The sequence below is a fragment of the Homo sapiens genome, chromosome 1 (assembly GCF_000001405.40).
Source record: "Homo sapiens chromosome 1, GRCh38.p14 Primary Assembly".
Classification (NCBI taxonomy): domain Eukaryota; kingdom Metazoa; phylum Chordata; class Mammalia; order Primates; family Hominidae; genus Homo; species Homo sapiens.
Genome location: NC_000001.11, coordinates 222,751,111 through 222,777,385, shown reverse-complemented (window position 1 = coordinate 222,777,385; position 26,275 = coordinate 222,751,111). Strand labels below are relative to the sequence as shown.

At 40.2% G+C, this 26,275-nt stretch overlaps 1 long non-coding RNA gene across 4 annotated transcripts, besides 3 other annotated features; it reads left to right on the top strand.

Annotated features, from left to right (window-relative positions):
- Positions 3,992-4,041: a silencer, noted in NCBI's record as "silent region_1837". NCBI's record gives its function as "represses an Ori minimal core promoter by ATAC-STARR-seq in GM12878 lymphoblastoid cells {active_cell/tissue: GM12878}" and the evidence as "EXISTENCE:reporter gene assay evidence [ECO:0000049][PMID:35858748]".
- Positions 4,244-26,204, top strand: LOC105372984 (uncharacterized). 4 transcript variants are annotated; one of them, XR_001738487.2, is made up of 5 exons: positions 4,244-4,316; positions 7,588-7,636; positions 15,178-15,267; positions 15,973-16,283; positions 26,048-26,204. It is a non-coding gene; the product is annotated as an uncharacterized LOC105372984 (long non-coding RNA). The 4 variants fall into 4 exon arrangements; XR_922641.3 differs by lacking the exon at positions 7,588-7,636; XR_001738488.2 differs by lacking the exon at positions 15,973-16,283.
- Positions 4,252-4,301: an enhancer, noted in NCBI's record as "active region_2584". NCBI's record gives its function as "activates an Ori minimal core promoter by ATAC-STARR-seq in GM12878 lymphoblastoid cells {active_cell/tissue: GM12878}" and the evidence as "EXISTENCE:reporter gene assay evidence [ECO:0000049][PMID:35858748]".
- Positions 4,792-4,891: an enhancer, noted in NCBI's record as "active region_2583". NCBI's record gives its function as "activates an Ori minimal core promoter by ATAC-STARR-seq in GM12878 lymphoblastoid cells {active_cell/tissue: GM12878}" and the evidence as "EXISTENCE:reporter gene assay evidence [ECO:0000049][PMID:35858748]".
- Positions 26,205-26,275: the final 71 nt, after the last annotated feature.

Here is a 26,275-nt window from a genome sequence, read left to right as displayed (position 1 = left end):
ACCTAGAGGCAATAATACATAAAAACTATTCTCTTTGATGTATTGTTGATAGAAGTAAGCTTCTTATATCACATGTGAAGTGGAATAATATCACTTGAATGTAGACTGTGATATGTTAAAGATGCACACTATAAGGCAACCAGTAAATTAACATTAAGAACAAAGAGTTATAGCTAATAGGCCAATAAAGGAGATAAAGTCATACTTAATCCAAAAGAAGGAAGGGTAAGAGGAAAAAGAGAACAAAAAACCCAGATAAAACACATAAAAAAAAAATAGAACCCCAACCATATTAACAAGTATGTTAAATGTAAATGGTCTATACACCCCAACTGAAAAACAAACATTGTCAGACTGGTTGAAAAGTAAGACCCAGCTATATGTTGTCCACAAGAAACCCACTTTAAATATAGACACATGTAAGCTAAAGGTAAAACAGTGAAAAAAAAAGTCATCTTATGCAAACCCTAATCGAAAGAAAGCTAGAGTGGCTATATTAATACAGACAAAGTAGACATCTGAGTGAGAAATATTACTAGGGATAAAGAGGGTCAATCACAATGATAATGAGCAACTACCATAACATTTTAGTACTAGATCTTAAAATACGTTTTAATATCTGGAAAGGGAAGTATCTCTCAGTATTCTTCTTTTTCACAATTTTTAAAAAGTCTTTAACCTTTAGTCTTCTATAAAAGCTTTAAGATCATTTTATCTCATTAAAGAATATAATAGTGGCCCGGTGCAGTGGTTCTTGCCTGGAATCCTAGCACTTTGGGAGGCTGAGGCAGGAGGATTGCTTGAGGCCAGGAGCTCAAGACTAACCTGGTTAACATAACATGACCCCATCTCTGAAGAAAAAAGAATAGAAAAGTGAATCTCATTGAAATATATTGTATATGCCTATTAATATTTGGAAGATTATATTGTCTTCCTAACTAAAAGCATAGTTTTTTATTGGTTCTTTTTTGATCCAGGATTTATTTAGAAAGACACTTTTTAATTTTCAAGTAGAAAAAAATACAATTACCATCCTTTAGTTATTTATATTTAATGTAATTGGTATTTGATTAAAGAATTTTGCCTGAAAAAATATCTACTTTAAAATTTTTATTAACAACCTTTATGGTCAAGGTAATACCAACTTTGGAAAATGCTTCACAAACAATAAAATAGTTCTCCATTTATAGGACATAAAACTTTGGACTTTTGCATTATTCAGTCTTTATATGTCTTACATTTTTTACTACTGTATCTATTGATCTGAAAGACATGAGTTAAAATCTCTCAGAGTAATTGTATATTTTTTATCAAAGTTTCATATTTTAATTACCTTTGGCTTCATATATAATGCAAAGCTGTTTAGTATATACATAATTATTACACATCTTCTTTGTAGATTGTGTCTTTTATTGTTATATAATATTCTCCTTTATCCTGTTTCAAGCTTCTAAACTTACATTCCACCTCGTTGACATTCCTGATTTCTTTTTGTTTGCATTTTGTCTAGTGTTATTTGTCCATCCTTTTATTGTTAATCTTTGTCACCTTAAGAGTGATATGTTGATATATCTGACATTTATAATCAAATATACTTATTTTTGGTTTTTACTGTATCAAAAAGTTTCTATGTCTCAAATGGATAAAAGTATCCTCTTCATACATAGTAAAATAACTGATGTGCTTCTTTTCATCACTTCCATCTTTATTTTTATTAGGTACTTTGATTTGTGGTTTTTCTTTTCCCTTTTCATTGTTTTTGGTGGTGTAACAAAATTCCTATATAATTCTTGTGGGGTTTTTTTGTTTTTGTTTTGTTTAAGTTTTGGTTTTTTGGGAGACAGGGTCTCACTCTGTCATTCAGGCTGGAGTGCGGTGGCACAATCATGGCTCACCGCAGCCTCAACCTCCTGGGCTCAAGCGATCCTCCCACCTCAGCCTCCCGAGTAGCTGGGACTGTAGGCATGTACTACCACGCCTGGCTAATTTTTGTATTTTTTGTAGAGACTGGGTTTTTCCATGTTGCCCAGGCTGGTCTCAAAATCCTGGGCTCAAGCAATCTGCTCGCCTTGGCCACCCAAAGTACTGGGATTACAGGCATGAGCCACCACATCCAGCCTTTTCACCTTGTTAATTGGAAAGTTTTACCATATTTTCCCATTTCTGATAGCTATCTTCTCTTCTCTGACATTTATAATCAAATATATTTCTTGACTATTTCATCAAAAAAGATGCCACCTGTCCCCACCCAGGTGCTCTACTTACCACTGGTCTCCCTCCCTAAGAATATGAAACCCTTAGAATGTTATGCCCATTGTCCATATCTGTTCCCCTGCCCCCAAAAAAGATGAGACCCAAGAGTTGGTTTACTTCCCTTCTTTCTCTTTCCTCTATCCCTAGGTTTTGCTGAGATAATCTGGTACGTGTAATTTTAACTTTGTAGTAAATTTTCTCTTGCAGAAAATATTTTCTATTTCAAAAATTCGAATTCTGCCTATATAATCCCACTCTATCATTATCTATTTAAATTTTAGTACATATTGCAAGGCTCATTTCTCATCATTGTTTTCATCTCTTTTCTTCTTCTCTCTTGAAATCTCTGTTTTGATTTTTTTCTTATTTGGCTGGCGTTCTTTCTCAAATATTTTCTTCAGATGAGATACATGGGTGGTTTATTATCTAATAACTTTCATTCCCCTGTCAGGTGGTATCTTTGAAGCAGTAATGATGTTTAAATACTAAACCAGAGACTGGCCAGTCAATAAGAAAGGTGTGCCAGGCATTAACTCCTTAGTTGCTGAATCCTGTAGAACAGGGTAGGAGTAGAAAGGGCTGGTGGGGAGATGATCAGGGACAAAGCTATTTCATAGACAGTGTGAAAATATTTTAATTTTTTTTTTTTTGAGATGGAATCTCGCTCTGTCACCCAGGTTGGAGTGTAGTGGCGTGATCTTGGCTCACTGCAACCTCTGCCTCCTGAGTTCAAGCAATTCTTCTGCCTCAGCCTCCCAAGTAGCTGTGACTACAGGTGCATGCCACCACACCTGGCTAATTTATTTATTTTTAGTAGAGACAGGGTTTCGCCATGTTGGCCAGGCTGGTCTGGAACTCCTGGCCTCAGGTGATCCGCCTGCCTCGGCCTCCCAAAGTGCTGGGATTACAGGCGTGAGCCATCACAAATGGTCAATATTTTAATATTTTAACAATAGGTGTGGCAAAACCACTGAGTTCTAGCTATGTAGTAGTCCTGGGTATCAGTTCTCTTTTTTTCCCAGGAAACTGGATGTTATTTTATTATTTTCTAGTTTCTAGTGCAACAGATGAAAATCCAATGACAATCTAATTTCTTTTTATTTGTAAATAATGTTTATATTTGATGTCTTGTAAGTCATTTATTTAACCAGTATATGTCTAGGTACACATCTTTTTTATCATAAATTCTATGTAATACTTATTGAACTCTTGAAATTTGCAGCCTCAAGTGTTTCTTTAGGTCAGGGAAATTTTCCTCTGTTGTTTAATTGTTGTCTTTTTCCCATCTATCCCTTTACCCACTCTTTTTTGTACTCCTATTTTTATTAATAGACTTTATTTTTAGAGCGGTTTTATGTGCACTGCAAAACTGAGTTGTAAGGTACAAAAATTTCCCATAGACCTCCTGCCCCAACAGGTGCACAACCTCCCCCATCGTGCACCCCTACAGAGTGGGGCATTTGTTGTAATCAATGAGACTACATGGTCACATCATTATCACCCAAAGTCCATATTCTAGGACACACTCTTGGTGTACTTTCTTTGGGTTTAGACAAGTGTATAGTGACATGTATCTACCATTATAGTATCATACAGGGTAGTTTTCCCATCCTAAAAATGCTATATGTTCCCCTATTTATCCATCTTTCCCACTACTATTTTTCACATGTAAGATCTTTTGGATTTGTCATTCCAATCTTTTATTTTTATTATTTTATTTTCTTCTACTTTTTTGAGACAGAGTCTTGTTCTGTTGCACAGGCTGGAGTGTAGTGGTACAATCTCAGCTCACTGCAACCTCCGCCTCCTGGGTTCAAGCAATTCTCATAACAGCCTTCCAAGAAGCTGGGATGACAGCTGTGAGCCACCACGCTCAACTAATTTGTGTATTTTTAGTAGAGACGGGGTTTTGCCATGTGGCCAGGCTGGTCTCAAACTTCCGGCCTCAGGCAATCCATCTGTTTTTGTTTTCTGTACCACATTTCCTTCTCTATATTTTTTGCCCTGGGCTTTGAGATACTGCTTCAACTTGAGCTTTTGGGGAACTAATTAGTGTTTCAACAGTGAGTATCTTTTCCCTTCAATTTATCTACTAAATTTTGAATATAAGAGTTCTTCTTTTTAGTTCTAGAAAGTCCTTTGCTGTAATTTTTTGTTCAAGTTCTATTTCCTAGAAGTTGCCTGTTCTGTGTATTCTGCTTGTTGTTTCTATCTGGCTGTTAGTCTTCCTGAGTGCAGCGTTATATAATTTTGCCTTCACATGGCTTTATGCACCCTTGGGACTCAGATCTACTTCCTTAGTGTGCTTTCAGCAGCAGCCATTCAGTGAGCAATAAGAAGACACATACACGGCTGGGTGCGCTGGCTCATGCCTGCAATCGCAGCGCTTTAAGAGGCCAAGGCAGGTGGATCACTTGAGGTCAGGAGTTCGAGACCAGCCTGGCCAACATGGTGAAACCCCCGTCTTAATATAGAAAAATTAGCCAGGTGTGGTGATGTGTGCCTGTAATCCCAGCTACTCAGAAGGCTGAGGCAGGAGAATCTCTTCAGCCCAGGAGGCGGAGACTGCAGTGAGCCGAGATTGCACCACTGCACTCCAGCCTGGGCAACAGAACGAGACTCTGAATTAATTTAAAAAAAGAAAAAAAAAAAGAAGGAAAGAAAGAAAAGAGAGAGAGAGAGAAGAAGACACATACAGCTGGCAAGTTGTCAGTTGCTTGTGAAGAAACCCTTTAACTTCCAGTCTCCTCAGCTATAGAGTGTGCTCTGCCAGCCTCAGGAGTAGGAAGGACCCAGCCTGCTTCTCCAGTTCGCTCCATGGTCCCCACCTAGGGGCCAGGGAAACCAGATGATCCTCGCTCACCGCCCCCCCCCGCCCCCCGCCCCCCACACAACACTTACACAGGCTGTGGCTCCCCTTCCTCTAAGAAAACCCATAATTCACACACTCTAATCTCTGCCCCAGAGCTTTGCTGTAGATCTTCAACATCTGGTAGGATCCAGAGGGGAATAAAGTTCTTTCAAGACTTTCTATGCCCCTGCTGTGGCAGAGCCCCAGGCCTTGTTCATATCCTCCAAAATGTACTTGCCTGCTGCCCTCTCAGATCATCCACTCAGGACAGGTGGTTGGTAGCTGGAGTGGAGCAGAAGGAGGGTATCAGGGCCTTACATTCAGTCTCCTGCACTCCTGTAAAAAATATTTAAATGTTTGTTTTCTTGGTTGCTGTTTAAAATTATATTATTTTTCAACAATGTAATACATGCAGTTTTTTTAAATAGTAAGAGAACCAAAAAGACATAATCAATTCCTAGCCATATACCCATATGGCAGCCAAAAAGATGTGCTGCTCCTAAATCCTTTTAAGAGAGATGCTGCCACGGGGAATGCAACCAACTGACAGCCTTCAGCTGTGGGTGACTCTAGGCTCTGCCTCGGCTTTCTTTTTTTTTGTTCTTTTCTTTTCTTTTTTTGAAACAGGGTTTCACTCTTGTCACCCAGGCTGGAGTCAGTGGCATGATCTTGGCTCACTGCAACATGATCTTGGTCAAGAGAACTGTCACTTTTTGCCAAAAAGGGACTCTTCCATGGGCAATCTTTGTTCTATAGCTTGAACCTCCCAGGTTCAAGGAATTTTCCTGCCTCAGCCTCCTGAGTAGCTGGGACTACAGGCACTGGCCACTACACCCACCACCATGCCCACCACCACAAAAATTGGCTAAATTTTGTGGGTTTTCTTTTTTTGAGACAGAGGCTTGCTCAGTCTCCCAGGCTGGAGTACAGTGGTATGATCTTGGCTCACTGCAATCTCCGCCTCCCAGGTTGAAGCGATTCTCCTGCCTCAGCTTCCTGAGTACCTGGGATTACAGGTGCCCGCCACCAAGCCCGGCTAATTTTTGTATTTTTACTAGAGACAGGGTTTCACCATGTTGGTCAGGCTGGTCTCAAACTCCTGACCTCAGGAGATCCACCCACCTCGGCCTTCCAAAATGCTGGGATTACTGGCGTGAGCCACTGCACCCGGCCCATTTTTTTGTGTTTTTAGCAGAGACAGGGTTTTGCCATGTTGGCCAGGCTGGTTGCGAACTCTTGACCTCAAGCCATCTGTCCACCTTGGCCTCTCAAAGTGCTGGGATTACAGGTGTGAGCCACCGTGCCCGGCCTGCCCGAGCTTTCAAGCTGAGGCTACGAGCTTCCTGGGCAGTCCCCAGCCAAAAACTGGTCAAGAGAACTGTCACTTTTTGCCAAAAAGGGACTCTTCCATGGGCAATCTTTGTTCTAGAGCTTCTCATTGGGCTGGCTAAGACTTTCTTAGAACTGCACTGCAGAAATATCTGAGGCTCTTCCTACTCAATCTCTTTCCTAGCTCCTCTCCTTTCACAAGTGAGACCAGCACCATTGTCTGAAGGTTCTCCCTGCCTTCCCACTCCCTATGCCCCTTATCTTTCACAGATGTTACCCCCAAGAAATCTCTTGGGCTTCTAACTCTGTGTTAGTGTTGGCTTCCTAAGACCAACTGACACCATCCAAGAGAAATTCTTACATATGAACATCACGAAACATGTACAAGAATGGTTTTGGCAATACTGTTCATAAGAGAAAAACCTGGAAGCCACACAACTTCTCCAACTTTCATAGTGACAAAGAGGTACCATGAGTCATTTATTTACTTAATTAAAGACAAAGAATCTTAGAGTTAAAATGGGGCTTTAGTCCAAAGATTTCAAACTGGCAGCCTTTGGGGACAAACCCAGCCTATAGAAGTGTTTTGCTTGGCAGGCACAGTGTTATTCAAAAATTTAATGCAAATGGCTCTAACCAGATTTAGTGTTTCTAGTTTTCCATGGTCTCTCCCACATAATATTTTTACACTGGCTTAATTAACATATTTATGTTACAAACTTGGACCATGTGGACATTTGAACTAACACCCTGTTAGTCCTGGAAATTGAGGCCAAGAGGTGAAGTGACTCACCCAAGTTCATATTCCTTAGTCCATGCATACCTTTCCTGATCTGCATGGCATGAAATCCATGCCACTTGTATAGCTATCTTTTTTTTAAAGCATATTCAACAGGAGTGATACTCCCCCCAAGGAAGCAAAAATTGGTTCAAGGTTGGGGGCAGGAGTCTTGCTCTTTTTACGTATAAAGTACAGATATACAAACAGTACATAAATATGTATATAAAGTATATGTACAGCATTAAAATTTCACAGTGGGAGACAATTCAGAAAAGATGTCTGAAAAGGCTCCTTCGGGGACAATGATATATAAAGGTTGAGAAACACTGAACCATACACTCAATAAATGTTTATGAATTTTTTCTTTATGTAGGCACAGCAGAGACAGCATTTCACAAAGCAAAACTGCTCCCTAATCTCAGGTGAGAGAGAGAGACTGAATTCACATGCCTGGGTTTGAATCTTAGATCTGCCACTTGCTGGCTCTATGACATTGGACAGTTTAATTTTTATATTCCTTGGTTGTGTCATATGTAAAATGGTGGTAGAATAGTACTTTTTAAAGACTTGTGTGGATTAAACAATTGACATAAAGTAGTTAACATGATGCCTGGCACATGAAAAATGATCAATGAACATTAGCTACTAAGTAATATATGAATATATAATTTCAAATTGTTGCAACCATGCTGATTATCAATTGCCTCTCATTTCCATATTCACCCTTCCTTGTCTGCTCTGTGAAGACGGATCTGGGCCCTTTAATTTTTACCCTTTTGTTAGTTGGCAGTAACCTTTGTCAGTAGAGGGAGCTAGAGAGACATTGAAGAAGGAGGATGTTTTCCTTCCTGATTCTGACATGATCTCTCCAGAGGCTCCTGCAGCATACACATGGCTTCACTACCACCTTGCTCCTGCAGCACAGGCAGCTTCTCCAGCACCAGGCCTCTGATGTGCACCCAGCAGACAGCAATGTCCCCAACATCCCTTCCTCCGGGTGGTTTTGTAACAGAATGCCTCCACTGAGACACCTCTCCATGAACAGCTTTTCCCAGCACCCTAAAGGGCAATTCTCCAGCAATTTCAGAGAGCAAGTTTCCAGCAAGTTCCACCAACATTAACCATAGTGATTTCTCTGCCACTCAGTGAGCCAGGGCCTTGCCTTCTCCAATAAGGTTTGGATCTAAGCCCTGAATTATGAGGGCTCTTCCTTTGTATACTCTATGTCAGTCCTAGGGAAATTAGTGAATGCTGCTTCTATCTGCTATTTTTATATTCTTTAGAGTTCTCTGTACTTCTTACTAGCCAATCCCATGTTATAGTAATAATTCTTTATAGTAAACATTCCCTGTTCAAATTACCATATGGTTTCTCTCTCCTTTTTGGACCCAAGCTAATACAGCAGTCCTGAGACCAAAGAGTTCAAGAACCACTGCCTTAGAACACTAGTTCTGTGGGATATGAATAGCTGTTAATTGGTGGTCAAAGTTTAAGACACTCTGAGTTAAGCAAAGTGAAATAGGATTCTCTACTGCAGGACATCTCAGAGGTAAAAAACATATTGTAAATCTGCAAGAAGGGATTGTGATATGTAGCATTTCCCAATTTTATTTGACCTGGTGGTGGTGGTGGGGTGTGTGTGTGTGTGTGTGTGTGTGTGTGTGTGTGTGTGTGTATCTGTGTGTGTGTGTGTGTTTTAATGGCGCATTTTGTGGGACTGGTATTCTAAGGATCACACTATAGGAAATGCTGAGTTAGTAGTTGTATCTACTAATTTGGAAACCATTTATTTGGCTGTTTCTTGGAAGTTGCTCACCTTTTTTAAAATCTACTTTTTTGTCCTTTTATACACTACCTTATTGTTTATTCTCTAATTTATGGCTCCCCAGTCTAAGCTTTTTAATCTTTGTTTCTACAGTGGCAAATGAAAGATTTTCTTTTTCTTTTTCTTTTTTCCCCTACTCTGGGGCACATTTCCAGATGTTCACCACAGGAGTCAGTCTACAGCAGCTTCCAGTGAAATGGAGTGTAATATTTTTGTAGGTTGAGTCCTAGGCAAAGACAAACATTATAACATACTTTTTAAGTGGACTGGGGAGAGCAGTAATGGTCTAACCATTGAAAATGGCTTGCTCCATTAGGTTTCCTATACAGATTAGTGCGTTGTTTTTTCCTTTGGAGTAATAGGGGCAATTTTAAATTTCTTCCTCCAGAAATATCAACTCGGAACAATGCTTTTTTTCAGCTCTGTTGGAAACTAGGAAAGCCTGTATAAAAAACTGCCAACTTCACATAGTAATTAAAGTCAGCTCACTAAATGTCACTACTGGATAACTTCTGAATTGTTATGCCTTCAAAAATATGTGACATAGGAAAATATAGCTACTGATGACACAGAATTGACTTACAGTAGTACATTCAGGGCCATGGAGAAATGTCAAAATTTTCATTTGCTCTTTAGATTAGGTGAAAAATAGACACCACCCACCTTTCACCTCTAATCTTGACCTTATCTTTTTAATTAAATTCATTGTTGTGCCTTCCATACGCATAGGTCCTATGCTAGGTGTTATGGATACTACAAATGTACAGAACAGAATGGCCTTCCAGAGCCTTAGTGGGAGAGAAAGGGGCAGAAAGCAGATACAGACATAGCCACATATGTATTGTCCTCGTATTTGCATTTTAAAGTGGTAAAGGTGTCAGGAGATGTGAGAAGAGGGCAGGGGAAAGGAGAAATGAAAGGCAAGAAGGGGGAGTTGAGCAAATCCTACTTCCATTTAGAAACCAGGGAGTAGAAATAAGCTGCCAAAAACCTGGAGCCTGGTTAACCACTTCCTACCCAAGTTCTCCTACCCTCTTTTCATCCCCAACCTAGGTACTGTCTTTCCTCTGGTATTAGAGCTCCTGAGATGAAAGGTACACCACAATGTGGTCGTGCTTTTAACGCCCTTTCGCTTGCTGGGTATAAATGATGTGCCCAAGCTGCTGTGATGGCCCTGCTGGAGGAGGCTGTCGCACCATCACTTAGATCATTTTGTTTACAAACCAAGGAGGGATCCCAGAGGGTGCTTAACAATCCCATTGTTGTAGGGTTTATTTTTATTTTTATTCTAGAGCCTATTTGGTAGGCATAGAAATTCATTCCTTGTGGTAGGAGATCACACCAGGGGTTCATATAAAACTTACTAGGAGTGCTTTTATAGACACAAATATCCAGGTTCCCATTCCAAGCCTCTTGAAATCAAGATCCCCAAGGGTGTCTCTGTGATATGTGAGTTGGAGGAGATTTTTTTTTTTTTTTTTTCGACAAGGTCTCTGTTCTCTTGCTCAGGCTGGAATGCTGGAGTGCAGTGGTGCAATCACAGCTCACTGTAGCCTCCACTTCCTGGGATCAAGTGATCCTCCCACCTCAGCCCGCACCCACTTTCAAGTAACTGGGCACTAATTAAAAAAAATTTTTTTTTTTTTGTAGAGACGAGGTCTCACTATGTTGCCCCAGCTGGTTGCAAACTCCTGGGCTCAAGTGATCCTCCCGCCTCAGCCTCCCAAAGTGCTGGGATTACAGGCGTGAGCCACCATATTCAGCTAGAGATTCTTATATGCACCTATGATTAGGAACTGCTACCACACAGGATCCCAGGTGCTCTATCTTACACTAGGACTTAGAAAGATGCACAGTTTCTGTAAGAGAGCACCCAACAGGTATCAGCAATTTGGGACCATCATGTATCCTTTCCGCCCCCAAATTTTATAAAGAAATACAGCCAAGTTCAAAGACTATGATAGTGAATACCCTTATATTCATAGCATCTTGATTCTATCATTAATATTTTACTGTCAGTTGAGATCACACCACTGCACTCCAGCCTGGGCAACAGAGCAAGACTCTGTCTCAAAAAAATTTTTTTTATACTATACTTGCTTTATGATATATCTATCCATCTATTCATCCTCCTATCCATCCATGAATCCATCTTATTTTTGATCCATTTGAAAGTAAATTTCAGACATCAGTATATTTCCTTCTAAATACCTGAGCATACAGATTTTTGTATTATTATTATTATACTTTAAGTTCTAGGGTATATGTGTACAACATGCAGGTTTGTTACATAGGTATACATGTGTCATGTAGGTTTGCTGCACCCATTAACTCGTCATTTACATTAGGTATTTCTCCTAATTCTATGCCTCCCTCCTGTGATATTCTCCACCCTGTGTCCAAGTATTCTCATTGTTCAATTCCCAACTACGAGTGAGAACATGTGGTGTTTTGTTTTCTGTCCTTGTGATAGTTTGATCAGAATGATGGTTTCCAGCTTCATCCATGTCCCTGCAAAGGACAGTAACTCATCCTTTTTATGGCTGCATAGTATTCCATGGTGTATATGTGCCACATTTTCTTAATCCAGTCTATCAATGATGGACATTTGGGTTGGTTCTAAGTCTTTGCTATTGTGAATAGTGCTGCATTAAACATATGTGTGCATGTGTCTTTATAGTAGCATGTTTTCTAATCCTTTGGATATATACCCAGTAATGGGATGGCTGGGTCAAATGGTATTTCTAGTTCTAGATCCTTGAGGAATCACCACACTGTCTTCCACAATGGTTGAACTAATTTACACTCCCACCAACAGTGTAAAAGCATTCCTATTTCTCCACATCCTCTCCAGCATCTGTTGTTTCCTGACTTTTTAATGATCACCATTCTAACTGGTGGGAGATGGTATCTCATTGTGGTTTTGATTTGCATTTCTCTGATGACCAGTGATGATCAGCATTTTTTCATGTGTCTGTTGGCTGCATAAGTGTCTTCTTTTGAGACGTGTCTGTTCATATCTTTTGCCCACTTTTTGATGGGGTGTTTGTTTTTCTTCTTGTAAATTTGTTTGAGTTCTTTGTAGATTCTGGATATTAGCCCTTTGTCAGAGGGTGGATTGCAAAAATTTTCTCCCATTTTGTAGGTTGCCTGTTCACTCTGATGGTAGTTTCTTTTGCTGTGCAGAAGCTCTTTAGTTTAATTAGATCCCATTTGTCTATTTTGGCTTTTGTTGCCATTGCTTTTGGTGTTTTAGTCAGGAAGTCCTTGCCCATGCCTATGTCCTGAATGGTATTGCCTAGGTTTTCTTCTAGGGTTTTTATGGTTTTGGGTCGAACATTTAAGTCTTTAACTCATCTTAAATTAATTTTTGTATAAGATGTAAGGAAGGGATCCAGTTTCAGCTTTCTACATATGGCTAGCCAGTTTTCCCAGCACCATTTATTAAATAGGGAGTCGTTTCCCCATTTCTTGTTTTTGTCAGGTTTGTCAAAGATCAGATGATTGTAGATGTGTGGTGTTATTTCTGAGGCCCGTGGTCTGTTCCATTGGTCTATCTCTCTGTTTTGGTACCAGTACCATGCTGTTTTGGTTACTGTAGCCTTGTAGTATAGTTTGAAATCAGGTAGTGTGATGCCTCCAGCTTTGTTCTTTTTGCTTAGTATTGTCTTGGCAATGCAGGTTTTTTTTTTTGGTTCCATATGAACTTTAAAGTAGTTTTTTCCAATTCTGTGAAGAAAGTCATTGGTAGCTTCTTGGGGATGGCATTGAATCTATAAATTACCTGGGGCAGTATGGCCATTTTCACAATATTGATTCTTCCTATTCATGAGCATGGAATGTTCTTCCATTTGTTTGTGTCCTCTTTTATTTTGTTGAGCAGTGGTTTGTTGTTCTCCTTGAAGAAGTCCTTCACATCCCTTGTAAGTTGGATTCCTAGATATTTTATTCTCATTGAAGCAATTGTGAATGGGAGTTCAATCATGATTTGACTCTCTGTTTGTCTGTTATTGGTGTATAGGAATGCTTGCGATTTTTACACATTGATTTTGTATCCTGAGGCTTTGCTGAAGTTGCTTATCAGCTTAAGGAGATTTGGGGCTGAGATGATGGGGTTTTCTAAATATGCAATCATGTCATCCGCAAACAGAGACAATTTGACTGCCTCTTTTCCTAAATGAATACTCTTTATTTCTTTCTCTTGCCTGATTGCCCTGGCCAGAACTTCCAATACTATGTTGAATAGCAGTGGTGAGAGAGGGCAACCTTGTCTTGTGCCAGTTTTCAAAGGGAATGCTTCCAGTTTTTGCCCATTCAGTATGATTTTGGCTGTGGGTTTGTCATAGATAGCTCTTATTATTTTGAGATACGTTCCATCAATACCTAGTTTATTCAGAGTTTTTAGCATGAAGTGCTGTTGAATTTTGTCAAAGGCCTTTTCTGCATCTATTGAGATAATCTTGTGGTTTTTGTCTTTGCTTCTGTTTATGTGATGGATTAGGTTTATTGATGTGCATATGTTGAACCAGCCTTGCATCCCAGGGATGAAGCCCACTTGATCATGGTGGATAAGCTTTTTGATGTGCTGCTGGATTTGGTTTCCCAGTATTTTATTGAGGATTTTCGCATCGATGTTCATCAGGGAAATTGGTCTAAAATTCTCTTTTTTTGTTGTGTCTCTGCCAGGCTTTAGTGTCAGGATGACAGCACACAGATTATTAACTGGAGTTTAATACTTCTTACAAATTTCATTTGGGGTAAAATTTGTATTAAACAAAATGCACAAATCTTAAGTATGCATTGTGTGACCCAATGTACAGATCTTTGTAATATAAACTGCTAACAAGATAGAACATTACCGTGACCCCAGAGAGTTCCTTCATGCCACTACCCAATCAATCCCCTCCCCTACTTCCCACAAGAAATCACTGTTTTAATTTTTTTCAATCATAGATTAGTTTTGCCTATTCTAGTTTTTGAGATTTAGTCTTGTTGCATGTATACATATTCGTAGCTCATTCCTTTTTATTGTTGGGTTGTATTCCATTTTATGAATATACCAGTTTGTCTTCCATTTTAATTATTATAACATCATGTATTCTTGAGTAAATAATCATTAGCATCAGATTGTATTTGTGAGAGATATTGCTACCCTATACTGGGATCTACCTTGCACAAAACAAATACACAACACACAGTTACTTTCTCTAGGATTTTAAGTCTTAAGATATTAATGGGGTCAGGTGTGGTGGCTCACGCCTGTAATCCCAGCACTTTGATAGGGTGAGGCGGGCAGATCACTTGAGTTCAGGAGCTCCAGACCAGCCTGGCCAACATGGTGAAACCCCATCTCTACTAAAATACACAAATTAGCTGGGCATGGTGGCACGTGCCTATAATCCCAGCTACTCAAGAGGCTGAGGCAGAAGAATTGCTTGAACCCAGGAAGCGGAGGTTGCAGTGAGCTGAGATTGTACCACTGCGCTCCAGCCTGAGTGGCAGAATGAGACTCCATCTCAATAAATAAATAAATAAATAAATAAATAGGAGTGATTTGTGGAATACGAACTCTAGAGACAACTGAAAGAACAGATGAGATAGAATACTTTTTTAATTTTTTATTATTACACTTTAAGTTCTAGGGTACATGTGCACAATGTGCAGGTTTGTTACATATGTATACATGTTCCATGTTGGTGTGCTGCACCCGTTAATTGGTCATTTACATTAGGTATATCTCCTAATGCTATCCCTCCCCCCTCCCCCCCACCCCACAACAAGCCCCGGTGTGTGATGTTCCCCACCCTGTGTCCAAGTGTTCTTGTTTAATTCCCACCTATGAGTGAGAACATGTGGTGTTTGGTTTTCTGTCCTTGCAATAGTTCGCTCAGAATGATGGTTTCGAGCTTCATCCATGTCCCTACAAAGGACATGAATTCATCCTTTTTTATGGCTGCATAGTATTCCATGGTGTGTATGTGCCACAATTTCTTAATCCAGTCTGAGATAGAATACTTTCAGTAGTGCTTTGAGTTTGTTTTTCAAGTAAACCTCTTCCCATGCCATGCGTCCTATTGTAATGATTGCTAATGATTCTAACATTGCTGTAACCATATTTTACCATAATTAACATTGTAGATATTTGCCTGCCCAATTAGCTGGAGGCTCCTTGATGGCAGAGACTGCCTCCTTGGTATCCCCAGCACACAGCACAGAACCTGGCACATAGTAAGTATTTAGTAAATGTTTCATGAAGTATTGAATGAATGATTAAAAAGCATTCATTGAATGACTTCTTTACTCAAACTTCTGCTTCAGTCCTTCTCTACATAATTTAGGCAATATTTTCTTACACCCGCTTATTTCTGGCTGTGGAATATCAAATGTCTTTCCAGTCATGTGTGCTTTGGTTTCTCACTAGACTAAAAACTAAAGGCAGGGTCAGGGATGTATCTTCTGTATCCCTCAGCAGAGAAGTGGTGTGAAGTCAATATCACCTAAATGCTGGTTTTAAAAAAGTTTATATTTAGAATGATAGAACTCCCAGAAGGTGCCAAGACCATAGAGTCCCAGCCCCTGGTTCTTCAAAAAGACCAGGAACATCGAGAGGACAAAAAATGTCCTATGTATTTGGGTCTTCAGGACCCAGTACATTGCCTGGCAGTAGTTGGCATTCAATAAATATTTAGCAGAAGAAACAAAAGAAGGAGAAAAGGAAGGAAGGAGGGGAGAAGAAGCTGGGAACTGAAGCTTAGAGTCATAAAATGATTTCCCCAAAACTTACATCAGAACCCAGACCTCTTCTTTCCTAGTCCAGCTCTGCTTCTGCTGGATTGTTTGAATTTTTAACATTACTAATGTCAAAAATGGCATCTCTTTTCCTTCTACTGATGGCAATTTAATCATGAAAGCAGTTGCTTTGCTTCATTGCAGCTGTTGCCTCCACGTACCTGAAATGCCAGTGCTCCAGCTGTCTTGATTGAGAGGCCTAGTTTGCAAGAAAACAAGACAAAATACTTTGCTGCCTTAATTCCAGTGGGAATTTAATTTAATTAGCATCTGATTTACACAATGCACTTCTGACAGCTGTGTTTGTGGAGTCTCTGTGGAAGCAAGAAATTACCATCCATTGAAATCATCATCAAAGCTTATTTATCATCCTGCCATGTCTTTCCAGCCTTCAGCCTTGGGAACTTCTGTGTGTTTATTGCACATTCATGAAGGTTACAGTAAATAATACTCAAGTAAGTGCATCAGGGTTTGTGGAGGGTTTGGTGCAGGCTTGTTCCAGAGCCTTAATAGGATGAATCTGAAAATGAGGCTTTGGAGATTTGATCAAAGGACAGGTGTCTTTTAATGTTGAGTTTTTAAGAAACATTAAGGATCTCAAATGAGAGAACACTTACCACCTGGACAAAAAGGACATTCAACAGTGGCATTTGGGGCTTGTGCCGTTACTGTTTGAACAGAGTAACTGTGAACTGTGAACTGGCTCAAGAAGATGTGAGTGATTTGGGATGGACCTGCAATGGGGCCTCTCCTGAAGGAGAGGACTAGGAACCGGACTAGGGCAACCAAGGGATTGATGGTAAGGTCTTAACCATGTTTATGTTCCCCAGTACCTAGCACATAATAAATAGTTGTTGAATGACTGAATGAATGAGATCAGAGATGATTGAACTGGCTGCAGTTTTTGTGCCTAGTCCAGTCATTCCCTATACCCCTGTGTTCAATAAATTTATTATCTGAAGAATGATTAGCATGACTTTATAGATCATCATAATACCAGGAGGGGGCACATTAGATGAGATAGGTACTAGCCAAGTACAGAGAGGGGAGAGCTCACATCTAAATAAGGGTGCAAGGGAAGGTTTCAAAGAAGAGGTCGCATTAGAGCTGGGTCTTGAGTGATACAAATGTTTTATTGGAGACAAGTGTTTTAATAAAAGATAAGGGGGAGGAATCTCAAGGACAGAAAATTATGTGAAAAGAGATGAAAAAGCATGAAATAAGATATCTTTAAGGAGCAGGGAGCTTGGCTTATAGAGATAAGAAAGGAAAGTTAGGCCTGGACATTGACTGACTTTGAAGAATTTAAAATTTTATTCTGTGACACTGTAGGACGTTTGAAAATATTTGAGAAGAGGAGTAATCTGATTAGATTCATGGTTTGCAAGAAAAACCTCTGGTGTGAAGGTAAAGAATAGACCGGCAGAGAGAAGGAGACTTTTCCTGTCTTTGCTAGAGAAATTTTCAGTGTTTCCACCAGCAAAACAACAATCAAAACACAGGTCCATCAGTAAAGCCCGGAAACAGGATTAGTGACATAGAAATGAGTTTCAGAGACACCATAAAGGATGAATTGTCAGGATTTAGCAATGGACAGATTGATGGCCAAGAGTCAAAGTGGCCCCTAAAGTACTGAAGTTTCCAGCTTGGCTGACAGCAAGAATAGTGACGCCATTAAAAGAGGAGAAAGTTTAAAGGAGATGCTGGTAAAATAAAAACTATTTTCTACTCTAGCACGTCATTCATACAACTGGCAAATGTCCACTTTCTTGGCACCATCCCAGCTTTATAGAATAAGAACATTAGAATTAAAAGGCACTTTATAGATTTTCTAGGTTAATGTTTCTCAAAGTAAGTTCCTCAGACTGCTACTTCTGGAAATCCTCCTTGCACAAGTGATTTTATGACCACATACATTGGGAAATATTGTATACTGTGTATTTTTGTTTTGTTTTGTTTTTTGAGACAGGGCTTCCCTTTGCCACCCAGGCTGGAGTGCAGTGGCAGGAACATGGCTCACGGAAGCCTGGAACTCCAGGGCTCAAGTGATTTTCCCACCTCGGCCTCCCAAGTGGCTGCGACTATCTGTCTTTTGGAGCTTAATGAGGCACATTAGTTTATTAATACCCTGAAAAACTCTGTGGCAATGATACTTTTTTGTTTTGTTTTGTTTAACCAAATTCCTCCAAAAAATTAAGTTTCTCAGATCCTCCTTTTTAATATAAAACTTATTTGGCTGCTGCAGTGGCTCATGCCTGTAATCCCAGCACTTTGGGAGGCCAAGTCAGGTGGATCACTTGAGCCCAGGAGTTCAAGACCAGCCTGGGCAACATGGCAAAATCTTGTCTCAAAAAAAAAATTAGAGGGGCATGGTGGCATGCACCTGTAGTCCCAACTACTTGGGAAGCTGAGGTGGGAGGATGGCTTAAGCCTAGGAGCTTGAGGCTGCAGTGAGCCATTTTTGTGCCACTGCCCTCCAGCCTGGGCAACAAAGCGAGGCCCTGTCTCAAAAAAACAAAACAAAACAAAACAAAAAAATTATTAATATTCAGAGGAACATACTTTAGGTAAAGCTAATTTAGTCCAAACTGCCTCATTTCATAAATTAGAAAACCAGACCCATGGATAGTAAATTTTTCTAACGTCGTGTAACTTTTTAGTAGCAGAGTCAGGACTAGAATCTAATTTTCATGACTTATTATCCAGAGTTCTTCCCACCTCTCTAGGTTTCTAATTGCTATGAAGATGATGATCGGTGTCTCTTTCCTAAACTACTATCAGCTGAAGGGTTTAAGACTCCATTTGCCCCATCCTGCCCTCTTCCCTCACTTCCACCCCAGACAAGAAGCTCTCTCAAACCCCGAAAGTTGGTGAAGAGCTTATTATATGGTGAAGAGTATATTATTATATATGTTTCCCACACAATGACATGTTTCTCCATAGATAGGGACTAAATTGAACCATTATAACTGTATAAACATGGGGTGGAGGGAGTGAATATAACATATTTTGTTTTCCATAAAATCACACCTCCTATGGGAATTAATGCAGAGAAGGGCATAGAAATAGTCTTTAGCACATGTTCTCATTGTCCAGTTTTCTATTTCTGGATATTATTGATAGGGGTTGAAGAGACCAAAGGAGATAAGGTAACACTGATGTGCCATTGGTATAGAGCTTTGATTAATGCTTTCACATACAGGATCTCAATTAATTCTCACCTTTTGTAGGGATGCTGGCTTTTATTATCCTCATTTTGAGGACAAGTCTGAAACTTGGCCTGAGTATGGCCCCCCAGCTAATGACTAGAGACCCTGGAGTTAAAATCTAGGCTTCCTGGCTCTTGAATACTCACTATGCTTTTCCTTTAATCTCCAAGTTCCCTTCTCAGATTCCAGGCATTCACGTTCTGCCTCTTGTGGGAACTGCTGGGCCTGTCTTTTATCCACTCGCTGTCCCACAGCCAGCTGGATGGAAAGGTTTTAGTTCTCAGTTACGCAGTTCTACGTGATTGCCATTAATCTGTAGAAAGAGTGAACACAGGCCCAGGTACTTCTTTGTAAATATTAAGATGTTAAACGTCATTTGAAAGGTTTTTGTGCAAGAATGTGAGAGTGTAAGCATGTTTAAATCTGGACTGTGTGAACTAAGATGAAGCAGAGAAGACAGCTGTCCTGCACACCGCATGATGGTAATATTGGCCAACTGGCCCACGTGATAGTTAACTAAATATGGTAGTCGTAACTTCCTAAATGCATGTTGGGTAACAGCTTTATCAGTCAGAGTTCTCTAGAGAAACAGAATCAAGGAGATTTATTTCAAGGGATTGGCTTACATCCTTATGGGGGCTGGCAAGTCTGAAATCTGTAGGGCACGCCAGCGGGCTGGAAACTCATGTAAAACTTGAAGCTGTAGGGGTTCTTTTTGGTTTGTTTTTGTTTTTGTTGAGACAGGGTTTTGTTCTATCACCCTGGCTGAAACGCAGTGGCACCACCATGGTTCACTGCAGCCTGAATCTCTTGGGCTCCAATAATCCTCCCGCCTCAGCCTCCCGAGTAGCTGGGACTAACAGATTCATGCTACCACGCCAGGCTAATTTCTGACTGTAGAGATGGGGTCTTGCTGTGTTGCACAGGCTAGTCTCGAACTCCTGGGCTCAACCAATCCTCCTGCCTTGACTTCCCAAAGTACTGAGATTACAGGCATGAACTATCATGCCCGGCTGATGATATAGTCTTGAGGCAGAATTTCTTTCTCTTCAGGGTTTTGCTCTTAAAGGACTTCAACTACCTGGATGGGGCCCCACCCATATTATCTAGCATCGTCTCCTTTACTTAAAGTCAACTGATTGTAGATGTTAACTATGAAATACCTCTATAGCAACACCTAGCTTAATATTTCATTAAGTAACTGGATACTAGAGCCTAGCCAAGTTGACATATGAAACTAGCCATCACATCAGCCAATGAGGCAAAAGTTGATATTTTGATCAGTTCCTTAAAATTGGCATTAATAATTTTATATACAAAGTTTCAAGAACTACCTTCTTACAATTTGAAGAGAAAGAAGTAGGTTTTCCCACCATCACCACATTCTTGGGAGCTGTCTTGCTCTTGGGGTCATCTTACTCTTGGGGTCATCTTGCTCTGTCACTGAAACAAATTTTTTCCCCAAGACACCAAAGACCATCATAAAATGCTTACCTTGGGACACGTTTTCTACAGAAATTCACTCAATTCTGAAGAGAATTTTGTTTCTGCCACTTTGTCCTGATTTATACAGCCAGTCAAGCCTGAGGGCAGGCTTGAAGATGACAGATTAAGTAAATGTTCCAGGAAAATAATATCCACTTCCTTTTGAGTAATTTGTTGGGGGCCCTTCATTTTCTTTTTCCCAGTAAAAATACTTCCCACCCAAATTAAACTCAGATTGATAGAACCATGACACTCCCCTCTGGTTCCCAACTTAAATGAAAACTTACAGAGAAGATTTTCCCTAAAGAGCTTTCAACACTTTTGCCTAAAAAGCTGACCATTGTGTTTCCCGGCTCTTGGCAAACCTATATAAGATACCTGAGAATGAAAATGATTCAAGGTGTACTTGGCTTCATTTTGCTGTAGGTAGAGGAAATAATTATATCTTGCATTTGGAAGTGGTGTAATTTGGCAGAGGATAGAAACATTTACAGATAATTGAAGGACCACCTCACCAACAAAGATGAAAAAGACCCAAACAATTCTTGGCAGGACTGCCCAGTCAGGGAAAGACATTTGAATTTTGTATGTATGAAGATAAAGGGGGGTAAGATTGTCTGTGTGCATTTGCTAAAGAGCTTCTTTGATCACTTGAGACTCCCTGAATTTCCACTCTGAAGGTAAAGGTTTATATGAATCCATCATTAGAAAGAGAAATAATAAAATTAACTTTCATTTACCTGCATTACGCACAATGAAGTATGGTCATAATAAATAACTAAAAACATCAAGAACCAGATAATTATTCAAATTTGGTTTATTAATTCAAAGACTTTCTGCTACATAATTTGTTTAATCGGGGATATTTTTGGCCTGGCAGGAGTCTAGGGCTTACATGTTGCTGGAAGGGGAAGTGAGTTACTCCTTTCCCAATATATCATTGAATCTTGGAAGCTGCCAGATAGAGCAGGGCAATATGTTTTCTCCACATTTTGTTTAGCATCCATGAATTTGCAAAGGGCAGAAATGCCTCCTGGGAGGAAAAGGACTAGGACTGCAACATCTTCTCTCAGGTTCAAGGAGAGAAAAATGAGTTAAGATGGGCTGGGATGACACTGACCAAGGCCAGACAGCATGGAAAGATAATAAAGGCTCAAGAGGAAACCTACTATAAAAGAGGGAGAGTCTGGACCCCTGACAAGTGCTATACCAGTGTCCGGATTGTAGGTGAAGAGCATTGGTTCTGATTATAGAGTATGGCCAATGGTGGAACCCCTTCTGGTATGGTTGTCCGCACCCAAATCTCATGTTCAGTTGTAATCCCCAATGTTGGAGATGTGGCCTGGTGGGAGGTGATTGGATCATGCAGGAGGTTTCTGGTGGTTTAGCACCATCCCGGTAGTGCTGTTTTCATGACAGAGTTCTTATGGGATCTGGTTGTTTAAAAGTGTGTAGCACCTTCCCCCTCTCTCTTCCTCCTGCTCCTGCCATGTGAAGTGCCAGCTTCCCTTTTGCCTTCCACCATGATTGACGCCAAGCAGATGCTGCCATGCTTTCTGTACAGCCTATGGAACCATGAGCCAATTAAACCTCTTTTCTTTATAAATTACCCAATCTCAGGTATTTCTTAATAGCAGTGCGAGAATGAACTATATACCTTCCTACTGAGTCAACTTGACATTATGATTGTGCTTTGAGGAAAATGGTTATGGATATCTGAGTAAAATATTTTATCGCTAAAAAGCTGTACTTTCTGGGTACCTAAACTTTTTCACTTTGGGATGCTCATGACTAATATTTCGTAGAAGTGTTTTTCCTGGTACAATGAAAATCCCTTTGGGTGACTCAGCAGGTGGCAAATATGGGAATTGGCAGTGATGGCAAATAAAACAGCCAGATTCAACTTGCAGGCAATGGTTGCCTAGTTAGGCCCCCACACAGCGCAGTAAGGCAGGAAGCTTATCTGATACAGCTCAGTGAGTTCCATCTAGCCTTGAGGGAGTAAGGTAAAATTCCTGTACTCCTTCTGGGTGCATTATAGTTCTTGGATGAGTTTATCCTCAGAAGTCCTTAGGAATATTTAGGAATAAAAAATGAAGTAGTTATCCATTCCACTATAAGAAATTACCATAACATTTAGTAGCTTAAAACAATAAACATTTATCTCATATTCTCAATGAGTCAGGAATCCAGGAGTGGCTTAGCTGGGAGGTTCTGGCTCGGCATCTCTCATGAGGTTGCACGCAAGCTGTTGCCTGGAGCTGCAATCCTCTGCAGGCTGGAGGAAGGCGGTCTTCCAAGCACACTCACGTGGTTGTAGGCAGGCCTCAAGTTCCTCAAAGGTTGTTCGCTGGAGATGAAAGTTTCTTAGCACAATGAGCTCTCCAAGTCTTAATCAGTTCAGGCTGCCATAACAGAATACTGTAGACTAGGTAGTTTGTAAACAACAGAAATTTATTTGTCACGGCTCTGGAGACTGGAAATCTGAGATGAGGACGTCAGCATCGTCAGGTTCTGGTGAGGGCACACTTCTGGGATGCAGACTGCTGACTTCTCATCGTATCCTTACATGCTGAAAGAGAGCCAGTTAGCTCTCTGGCCATTTCTTTTTTTTTTTTTTTTTTTTTTTTTGAGACAGTCTTGCTCTGTCGCCCAGGCTGGAGTGCAGTGGTGTGATCTTGGCTTACTGCAAGCTCAGCCTCCTGGGTTCACGCCATTCTCCTGCCTCAGCCTCCCGAGTAGCTGGGACTACAGGCACCCGCCACCATGCCCAGCTAATTTTTTGTATTTTTAGTAGAGACGGGGTTTCACCGTATTAGCCAGGATGGTCTCAATCTCCTGACCTCATGATCTGCCCACCTCGCCCTCCCAAAGTGCTGAGATTACAGGCATGAGCCACTGCACCAGGCCATTCTGAGAGGGTACTAATCTCATTCATGGGGGCTGCACCTTCATGACCTAATTACCTCCCAAAAGCCCCACCTCCAAAATCATCACAATGGGATTAGGGTTTCAACATATGAATTTGTGGGGGAACATATTCAGTCTGCTGCACTGGCTGAGTGTCCTCATAACATGGCAGATGGCTTCCTTCAGAATGAATGATCCAAGAGAAAAGTAGTGAGAAAGATCAAGACAGAAGCCAAAGTATCTTTTATAACAATCTCTGGAGTGGCATATCATTAATTCTGCCATATTCTCTTGGTTACATAAATCACCCTGGTACAGTGTGAGAAGGAACTACACAAGGTATGAATAGCAGGAGGTGGAGATCGTTGAGGACCATCTGAGAGGCTGACCATACAAAGACTGAATGTCCTAATCATTTAGCTATTGGGAATTCAAGGCTAACAGGAAAGTAGAGATTTCTGTCTTCTTTGTTAATAGTACCTAAAACAAACAAACAAACAAACAAACAAACTGGCACATAGTAGATGTCCAATTAATATTAAATAAATGAATTAATTTTAATATTAAAGAAACTGTGGACTTATCCTGCAGGAATAGCCTGATAAGATCTGGGTATTGGGTTCCATTTGTCTTCTTTATTATATTTTGCTCAAGATTCAATTGATTTGCATATGGTCACTGACCATAAGAGAATCTTTTCTTTTAGTGAAAAAGAAAATTAAATTGAGAGTATAACATTTGCTAGATAAAAATCCACTTCTTCAATTCAAATATCACACTTTGTTTTGCCTAGTTCTTTTTTTTTTTTTTTTTTTTTTGAGTTTAGGAGCAGAGGTTTAATGGGCAAAAGAAAGAGAAAGGAGAGCAGCCCTCTTTCTCTTGTGAGAGAGAGGGGTGTCTGAAAGGGAAAAGCCCACCTAGTTCCTTAGAATCATCAATAAGTGGATATTCAAGAGGTGAATAATTTTTTAGAAAATGGAAAAGTCAAAAACAGTCCATTCCTAGGGCTATTCTGAAGCAAAATAGTAAGTAAATCAGGTATAGATTGTTAGTATGATCAGACACCTAAGACTGAAGTAACCAATGCTTAACTGATAGACCTGGTCACTTCTGCAATATGATAAAACCTTCAGATTTACTTCACCTTGAAACTGGACTAACAGAACATGTCAGATGAAGACCTAAGACTGACTCTTCAGTGGGGACAAGCCGTTCAGAATCCATGAAACCGGGATTCTCATTCAATATTATAATAGTCAGGGTTCTCCAGTGAAGCAGAACCAATAGCATAGATTTATAGAGACATAGGTAGATAGACAGATAATTGGATAGATAGATACAATGAGATTTATTATGAGGAACTGAATTTATTGTGATTATGGTGGTTGAGAAGTCCCACAATCTGCCATTCACCAACTGGAGACCCAGGAAAGCCAGTGATGTAAATCAGTTTGAGTTCAAAGACCTAAGAATGAGAGAAGCCAAGGTAGTAAATCCCAGTCCATGGGCAGGAGAAGATGAAATGAGATGAGATATCCAAGCTCAAGCAATAAGGCAGAAAAAAGGAGCAAATTCTTCCCTCCTTGGCCTTTTGTTTCATTCAAGCCCTCAGTGGATTGGATGGTGCTCATCCACATTGGGAAGGCAATCCATTTACTGAGTCCAACAATTCAAATGCTAATGTCATCCAGAAATATCCTCACAGATACACCCAGAAGTAATGTTTAATTTGGGCATCCTGTGGCCCAGTCAAGTTGACACATAGAATTAACCATCATAAATATTAATAATTGTAATTGATACTATGACTTAAGCACCTTATTAGAGCCACAGCTTTACGTGCTTTTCCTCAATTTTAACATGAAACAGTCATGGGATACCTACCTAGCTCACTGCAATTTCCTTTTCCTGAGAACCATCTTAACCCAGAAATAGGTCCCATAACCATGTTGCTACTACAAGGCTCCATCTCCCTGGCCACAATTAATTGAATTAGAGAGTGATACTTGACAAAAAGGAGCAAAACAGATTCTATCCACACTATGCTTTGAAATGGGGACGAAAGACTAGTATATCAGTCACTTGAACAGAAGAATTATCAAGAGCTATAGAGTGGGCATCTTCCTCATGGGCAAGAAAGATGAGAGATGGACAGACAGTACCTGTTGGGTGCTTGCTTGTCACACTGTTTAGATCCTATTGAGACTAATCTCCCTTTGGTGTCCATTTGATAACTCAGTGTACTTTCCACAAAATTCTTTTTTGTTGCATAAAGCTGGTTCAAATTATATTTGCTTCCTGTCTCAAACCTGTTTTATAGATGAGAACATTGAGAAGTTGAGTAATTTGCACAGAGCTACTGGGTTACAAAGAGGCAGGAGAGCTGAGATTAAATCAATATCATATTGATCCTTGAGCCTACCATTTATCTCCTATGCCATTAGAAGAAAGTGTTTCCTTTTCTCAGCTATCTTAGGAGGCTCAGACACCCATAAAATTAATTATAGCCATGTGATTTTCTTTGGTGAACGAAACATACACAGAGGTGACATGATTCATTTTTAGTGGAGATATTGATTGCCACTGCTTAACTCTCCATGCTGTTCCTTTTCCAGCAACCCCGAGAGCACATCACAGTATGGAGAAAACATAAGATCAAAGAAGCATGCAACACTGAGCTATCACACGGAGAACACCTGTCTGGGAAGCCACCTAAACTGACAGTGGACTTCTCAAGAGAAAGAAATAAACTTTCTTGTTTTAGGACACTGAGATTTTGGAGGTGTCTGTGCAGCATAATCTATCCTATCCTACTATATTCAACTCACAACTCCTTATGCTCC